Genomic DNA, 9,056 nt, shown 5'->3' with positions numbered 1-9,056 from the left:
TGTATTTGAAAGCCATTTGAACCAATCTCATGCAATCTTTCATAAGGTATATGTAGCTCATGAGAGTTTTTCATTCAAGTTGTGGCAAAGGTCACAGCAAATAGCAAAATGTCAACTTGCCTTGCTTTGTTATCCATTTGTGTGTGTGTTTGTGTGTGTGTGTATGTGCGTGTGCACGCGTGCATTTGTGAAGTTGATTAATAGAGAGCAGAGTACATAATCCTCTAGCCAAATATCACACAAATATTAGTATATTTACAATTTTCATGACCTGTGCTTGACTTCATCTATACAAGCCACCTCCACTCTATTTATCTCATATATCTTCCACATCCACAGATTGCCCAATTATCTGATTTCCAAGCTAGTTTACAAGGTCATGTTCCAGTTTTGAAATTTACAACCAGACCCATATTTCCACAGCCCATTAACTACCAACAAAGGATTAGATGGAATGCATAAGGTTAAAGGGAGACTACTTGTGCTGCGATTGATCTCACAGAAAAGAAGGAGTCCCACTACGGCTAAGAGTCCCACTCAAGTGTATCTTAGGGCAGGTTTCCAAATAATAAAAAGAGAATCAGAAAGGTTCTGAGTTGGAGATGCATGCAAGAGAAATATCGGGAAATACTCTTGGAAGCCACACTTATAAGGGAGTGAGGGAAGCAGGAATGGACAACAAGAAAAGTTAAATGGTGATGTAGTTGCAATAGATGACTCAACTGAGGCTACAGGGAGCTCTAGAATTAGGAAGGCCTTGCAGAGTTGTCAGGAATCAAGTCAAGGTGGCAGGAATTTTGTTTCCCTGCATTGATCAGTCATTGAGGTCTGGCTGCTCATGGGGAGGGGTATAATTTGGGTGAGGCAGCTCACTTGAGCCAGGGAAATACCCCGTGTGACACTCAGTTATGAGCTGTCAGCAGCCCACACTCTGGTGGCTGGGAGAGTATAAGGGTCTCAGTCTAAAGGAGGCCTCCGTGCAGTGCACCAAAACTTCCACTACAGTCTCCAGTTCCCTGTACTTCTTAGACCCACTGGCTTTATAGAGTATGCTTACTCCATTTAGGGGATGCTCCTCCAAGATTCTGGTTGGTGCCTTGTTTTAGGGAAACCTAAGAAAGGAAGATTAGTGAAACAATGTATGGCCCCTGCTACTACAACTAGTTTTGAGGCTACAAGTGATACACATTTTCTGGCTGCTCTACTATACCTATTCTAAATGTTTCTCATCACCAGCTAGTATCTCTGCTGGCGAAGATGACTTACCTTTTTGGGTCGCCAAGATTCTCATCCCAGGGGTGTCTCAGTCTCTGGTCATTATGCCCTTTTAAAGCCATATATGCTTCACTTGTTTGTATGCTAATAAAATCGAGCAGGGAAGAGCCAAGAAACATCTGAGAGGAATACCAGGAACCCACATTTCTTCTCTTCCTACTTTGTGTAACAGCTCCTCCTGGTAACCAGGGCCAATTTTCCCTATCCAGTCACGTGACTGTGTTTCTTGACACTGGTCTATGAATGTGGACCATGAAGTAATTTAGTAGCAGCCATAGCTTAAATTTTTCTTGAGACTCTGACTGTGTCCATGATGGCAACAGTTTATCTGTGATAACCAAAATCTCTAGAGCCACAAAGCTGACATTTGAAGGGACAAAAAGCACATATTCCCCAAGTGGGAGTCTGGGAAAGATGGTAAAAGGGTCAATCCTACTTCCACTCCTTGGCTCCCTAAAATGTTGTGTTCTATCTGGAAACCCAGAACTATATAATAGTTACTGATTTAAAGTGCATGCTGATAATGCTACCCCATCATCACAGATTGTCATCTCTAAGTTGACAGGTCATTTGTGCATTCAAAAGGCCACACTGTAACTATACCAGGTCAGCAGTTTTGGTTTGTGCAATATATGATAGGGTTAGTGCATCCCATGGTTATGTTCCCACTCTGCTGTAAAATTCGTCATTTGGACTAATGGAACATTTTGCAGTATACTATGTTAACAGATCAAACACTTTATACACTTTTATATAGTGGTGATGGCCAAGGCACTGTGAATAGAAGCAAATCCACACCTGGCATATGTGTCAATCCAGGCAAAATAAATTTCTATCTCTTCCAAAGTGGCAATAGTTCAACTTGTCACCAGTTGGTTAGTGTGCTGAAGTAATGGTGCCATATTGGGGTCTCAGTGTTGGTCTCTGTTGATGGCAGTTTGGACATACAGCATCAGCAACATGTAGCTGTAACATTCATGGTGCATAACAGCCCATGCTGGCTGTTGGGCCCATGCATAGCATCCTGCCCTGCCACTATGGCTACTCTGTTCATGATCCCATAGTCCTAGCAACTTTAAAGGCTAATGCCAGAGGCTGGCTCATATCAACGGCATAGGCCATTCTGTCTTCTTGGTGTTTGGTGCCCCTTTTGTGAGGATAATCTCTGGTGGGTGTAAACATGCAATGCAAAGACCTTCACAGGTTGTGCCCCCTCCTGTAGATCCATATACATGTTTCCCAGACTTCCTCATTGATTATGTAATTTTTCTCCTTTCAGGCACCTTAACAATCAGCTACACTACTCACTGCTTTTCAAGATTTGTAATAATATAACCATAGACCACTTCTTTTATTATTATTATTATTATTATTATTATTATTATACTTTAAGTTCTAAGGTACATGTGCACAATGTGCAGGTTTGTTACATATGTATACATGTGCCATGTTGGTGTGCTGCACCCATTAACTCATCATTTACATTAGGTATGTCTCCTAATGCTATCCCTCCCCCCTCCCCCATCCCATGACAGGCCCCGGTGTGTGATGTTCCCCGCCCTGTGTCCAAGTGTTCTCATTGTTCAATTCCCACCTGTGAGTGAGAACATGCGGTGTTTGGTTTTCTGTCCTTGTGACAGTTTGCTCAGAATGATGGTTTCCAGCTTCATCCATGTCCCTACAAAGGACATGAACTCATCCTTTTTTATGGCTGCATAGTATTCCATGGTGTATATCTGCCACATTTTCTTAATTCAGTCTATCATTGATGGACAGTTGGGTTGGTTCCAAGACTTTGCTATCATGAATAGTGCCGCAGTAAACATACAAGTGCATGTGTCTTTATAGCAGCATGACTTATAATCCTTTGGGTATATACCCAGTAACGGGATGGCTGGGTCAAATGGTATTTCTAGTTCTAGATCCCTGAGGAATCACCACACTGACTTCCACAATGGTTGAACTAGTTTACTGTCCCACCAACAGTGTAAAAGTGTTCCTATTTCTCCACATCCTCTCCAGCACCTGTTGTTTCCTGACTTTTTAATGATTGCCATTCTAACTGGTGTGAGATGGTATCTCATTGTGGTTTTGACTTGCATTTCTCTGATGGCCAGTGATGATGAGCATTTTTTTCATGTGTCTGTTGGCTGCATAAATGTCTTCTTTTGAGAAGTGTCTGTTCATATCCTTTGCCCACTTTTTGATGGGGTTGTTTGATTTTTTCTTGTAAATTTGTTTAAGTTCTTTGTAGGTTCTGGAAATTAGCCCCTTGTCAGATAAGTAGATTGCAAAAATTATCTCCCATTCTGTAGGTTGCCTGTTCACTGTGATGGTAATTTCTTTTACTGTGCAGAAGCTCTTTAGTTTAATTAGATCCCATTTGTCAATTTTGGCTTTTGTTGCCATTGCTTTTGGTGTTTTAGACATGAAGTCCTTGCCCATGTCTATGTCCTGAATGGTACTGCCTAGGTTTTCTTCTAGGGTTTTTAATGGTTTTAGGTCTGACATTTAAGTCTTTAAACCATCTTGAATTAATTTTTGTATACAGTGTAAGGAAGGGATCCAGTTTCAGCTTTCTACATACGGCTAGCCAGTTTTCCCAGCACCATTTATTAAATAGGGAATCCTTTCCCCATTTCTTGTTTTTGTCAGGTTTGTCAAAGATCAGATGATTGTACATGTGTGGTATTATTTCTGAGGGCTCTGTTCTGTTCCATTGGTCTATATCTCTATTTTGGTAGCAGTACCATGCTGTTTTGGTTACTGTAGCCTTGTAGTATAGTTTGAAATCAGGTAGCATGATGCCTCCAGCTTTGTTCTTTTGGCTTAGGATTGTCTTGGCAATGTGGGCTCTTTTTTGGTTCTATATGAACTTTAAAGTAGTTTTTTCCAATTCTGTAAAGAAAGTCATTGGTAGCTTGATGGGGATGGCATTGAATCTATAAATTACCTTGGGCAGTATGGCCATTTTCACAATATTGATTCTTCTTATCCATGAGCATGGAATGTTCTTCCATTTGTTTGTGTCCTCTTTTATTTCATTGAGCAATGGTTTGTAATTCTCCTTGAAGAGGTCCTTCACATCCCTTGTAAGTTGGATTCCTAGGTATTTTACTCTCTTTGAAGCAATTGTGAATGGGAGTTCACTCATGATTTGGCTCTCTGTTTGACCATAGACAACTTCTATCTGTACACAAAGTAGATGGAACAGATGCACCATTAAAATCTCTGACAAATGGCAGAATTTCTTCCTTTTGAGTGGGAAACAGTACAACCTGTAATTGGTAGGTTTTTAAGGTCAGCTGTCATCCCCATCATTCCCCACAGAATATGATACTGTTTTTGATGTATCATCTTGGCTGATGAGAAGACGGCAGTTTCAGAAGGCCATTTCACCTTTCCCACTATGGTCCCTTCCCCAAAGGAATATGCGGAGAGTTCTTCTAAGACCAGATATGTCCCATATCAATAAACTCTCCCTAGATTCAAGGACTGGGGGCAAATGACCTCTGGGTTTCTCTATGGACCTGATAGACCCATAGTGCACCAAATCTTGGCAACCATTCCCTTTATTACCTGCCCACCCCACCCCACAATACACACCTCCCCTCTTTTGGGACAGAGGGAAGAGGATGCTTTGTGTCCTCAGGTATCAGCATCCACTCAGAACCTGTATCCAATAGTCCTAAAAACATCTGAGTTGAATATTCCTCTTTCTCCTGTGTATGGTTATTCAAGTAAATAACCATAAGTCCTTTTGGGGAAAGACTGAGGTAAAATCACTACATATAATTAATTGCCTTGTTGTTGCAGGGTCTTTTTCATTGTGACCCAGCCTCTCCTTCAGTCGATGGTTCCGAGTATGAAAATTGACTCAAATCTAGAAATTAAGAAATCTTGATTATATTAAGGGCAATTGTCCTCAGCCGTTTGGACACTTATATATTTTTTTTATTACATGAATTAAGTAATACCCTTGCTGGTTGCCCATCTCTATCACCTCTAAAAGAACAGTGTTCTTTTAATCAATTCCATAACCCTCTGCTCCTAGGTGCCACTTTGACCTTGATGCTCATTTTTAAAATTGTACTCATCTTGCTGCTGACAGTTAAACACAGCCACCTGGCTCTTATTATACTAATATCCTTTTATCTGCATTGCTCTCAGAGAGCCCAGTTCTGTAACTGCATTTCCTACCATCAGCTTTGGCTTACAGATGACAGCCACCACTGAGCTTTTCAAAAATATTAGAGTTTCTCCTTCCAGTGTTTTCTGGGCCCTCCCATAAAACATAGTGAGCTGGTAGGTTTTCTGTCCTTGTATAGCATATTCACTGTGGCATGCCCCTCTCTCCACCATTGTCTGCCATGGCAGTTCTGGAATTTCTGCTTGACTTGGTGTGTGACTGCTTTTTCAAGGCTTTCAAGAGCCAACCTAGTAGTGTGTTAGCACCATTTCTCAGAGACTCTGCTAGGTTGTTTAATCTGTATGATAGGGGAGTAGTCCCATATTGACATACCCTCTTTTACTCATCTTTATATTCTCTATGCACCCCCTTGATCTAGGTCCCTCATAATCCGGGACTCATGGATCTTGATTGTACGTGTTAGCATAGAGCTCTTTTTCTCCTTTTGCAGGCTCAAGTTTTCACCAGGTATTGGTTCAAGGTGAGTGAGCAAGGGTGAATAATTGTGTGGAAAGTGCCTGTTGTCTTTAAGGTCAGAAGCTTCTGCATTTTCTTCAAGCAATGGAAGAAGTATTAGCCTTTAACAGCTATCTGGCTTAACAGGTAGGAGTGTGTCAGTTCTTCAAGCCCAGAAGGCTCAGAGGAATCTTGGGATTCAAATTTTTTTGAATGAATCAACCCAGATTTCCCTACCCTAAGAATCAGGACTTTCTTCCTACCCAACCAGAGCACTGATCTTGGCATAGCAGGTATGACCCAGGTGAAAATTCAATATCTGTAGAGTTATAGTACCCCTCTAATTAAGCTCTGGGCCTAATCCTTAGCTTTATTTTGACCTTGAACTACAAAAGAAGAGAGCCTGTTTGTAAGCTGCCAAGGAGCTTCTCTGGCTTTTAGGCTTCACCTTAAATGTGTGATTAATCATCCACAATCTTTCATTTTCTTTTGTCAGTGCATCAGTGGAAACCAACAAGAGCCATATGATTCCATAATCTTTATAATTTCTTCTTTCTCAGAAACCTCTAAGTGCCTAAGATACAACATTCTCCAGTGCATTTCCTTCCTCTGGTATCCCATTTCAGTTTACAGTTAGTTTTTTTTTCTTTTTTCTTTTTTTGTTATTACACTGCTACAGCATGTCAGTGTGTATCAGTGCTTCAAAGACTACCAGTGCTATAGTCTTCATTGCCAGCTAGCCAACCATTGATGAATCCAGCACCAAAATCTTACTTTAAGTTTGTTTCTAAGACCATTTAAGATTTTAAATCCCTGGGAAATACACACTGATACAGAGATTTCATGCTGAGAGTTTGTTGGGAGAGCCCTTGGAAACAAACTTATAAAAAAGTGAAAGAAGTAGGTTTGGGAAAAGGGAGAAGTTGAGCTGAGATGCAGTTTCAAAAGAGGCCTCTATCAATACAATTAGTATCTCTGAAGCTGAGCATTTCAAAAACAGTCCTCCTTAGTTGCAAACTTCATTACCCCATTTTCAATAATGGACAAACAATTGGCAAGAAGACCAACAAGGAAATAGAAGATTTGAACAACACTATAAAACAACTAGACCTAACACACATATTTAGGCCTTTTTCTCAAGTACACATATAACATGCTTCAGGGTAGGCCATAGGATAGGTTATAAAACAAACCTCAATAAATTTAAAAAGGAAGCAACATTGTATCCCTATAGATGCAGAAAATGCTAGCAATAAAATTCAACACCCCTTTATGTTAAAAACTCTAAAAAATCTAGGTATTGAAAGAACATACCTCAAAATAATAAGAGCCATCTATGACAAACCCACAGCCAACATTATACTGAATGGGCAAAAGCTGCAAGCATTCCCCTTGAAAACTGGCACAAGACAAACACATCCTCTCTCACCAATCCTATTTGATATAGTGCTGGAAATCCTAGCCACAGCAATCAGGCAAGAGAATGAAATAAGGGCATCCAAATATGAAGAAAGTCAAACTATCCCTGTTTGCAGACAACATGATTCTATATCTAGAAAACCCCATAGTCTTGGTCCAAAAGCTCCTTCAGCTGATAAACAACCTCAGCAAAGTTTAGGATACAAAATCAATGTACAAAAATCACTAGCATTCCTATACACAAACAGCCAAGCCAAAAGCCATATCAGAAAGGCAATCCCATTCACAATTGCCACAAAAAGAATAAAATACCTAGGAATACAGCTAACCAGGGAAGTGAAAGAGTTCTACTACTAAAATCACAATAAAACACTATCCAAAGAAATCAGAGATGGCACAAACAAATAGAAAAACATTCCAAGCTCATAAATAGGAAAAATCAATATTATCAAAATGGCCACACTGCCCAAAGCAATTTATAGATTCAGTGCAATTCCTATCAAACTACCAATGACATGCTTCACAGAACTAGAAAAAACTATTTTAAAATTCATATTCAAAAAGAGCCCGAATAGCCAAGGCAATATCAAGCATAAAGAACAAAGCTGGAAGCATCACATTACCAAATTTCAAACTATACTACAGGGCTGCAATGAGAAAACCACAATGAGATACCATCTAACATCAGTCAGAATGGCTATTATTAAGAAGCCAAAAAATAACAGATGCAGGTAAGGTTGCGGAGAAAACGCAATACACTTATACACTGTTGGTGGGAGTGTAAATTAGTTCAACCATTGTAGAAAGCAGTATGGTATTTCTCAAAAAGCTAAAAACAGAACTACCATTCAACCCAGCATTCCATTACTGGGTATATACCCAGAGAAATATAAATTATTTTATCATAAAGATAAAATAATGTAAAGATACATAATGCAAATGTTCATCGCAGCACTATTCACAATAGCAAAGGCATGGAATCAACCCAAATATTCATCAGTGACAGATCAGATAAAGAAAATGTGGGACGACCCAAGATGGCAGAATAGGAAGAACTCCGGTCTACAGCTCCCAGCGTGAGCGACACAGAAGACAGGTGATTTCTGCATTTCCATCTGAGGTACTGGGTTCATCTCACTAGGGAGTGCCAGAGAGTGGGTGCAGGACAGTGGGTGCAGCGCACCGTGCGCGAGCCAAAGCAGGGCGAGGCATTGCCTCACTCGGGAAGCGCAAGGGGTCAGGGAGTTCCCTTTCCTAGTCAAAGAAAGGGGTGACAGGCGGCACCTGGAAAATCGGGCCACTCCCACCCTAATACTGCGCTTTTCCGACGGGCTTAAAAAACAGCGCACCAGGAGATTATATCCCGCACATGGCTCGGAGGGTCCTACGCCCATGGAGTCTCACTGATTGCTAGCACAGCAGTCTGAGATCAAACTGCAAGGCGGCAGCGAGGCTGGGGGAGGGGCGCCTGCCATTGCCCAGGCTTGCTGAGGTAAACAAAGCAGCTGGGAAGCTCCAACTGGGTGGAGCCCACCACAGCTCAAGGAGGCCTGCCTGCCTCTATAGGCTCCACCTCTGGGGGCAGGGCACAGACAAACAAAAAGACAGCAGTAACCTCTGCAGACTTAAATGTCCCTGTCTGACAGCTTTGAAGAAAGCAGTGGTTCTCCCAGCACGCAGCTGGAGATCTGAGAACGGGCAGACTGCCTCCTCAAGT

Source organism: Homo sapiens, chromosome 13 (genome assembly GCF_000001405.40).
Source record: "Homo sapiens chromosome 13, GRCh38.p14 Primary Assembly".
NCBI classification, from domain to species: domain Eukaryota; kingdom Metazoa; phylum Chordata; class Mammalia; order Primates; family Hominidae; genus Homo; species Homo sapiens.
Note: the sequence above shows the minus strand (reverse complement) of the source record.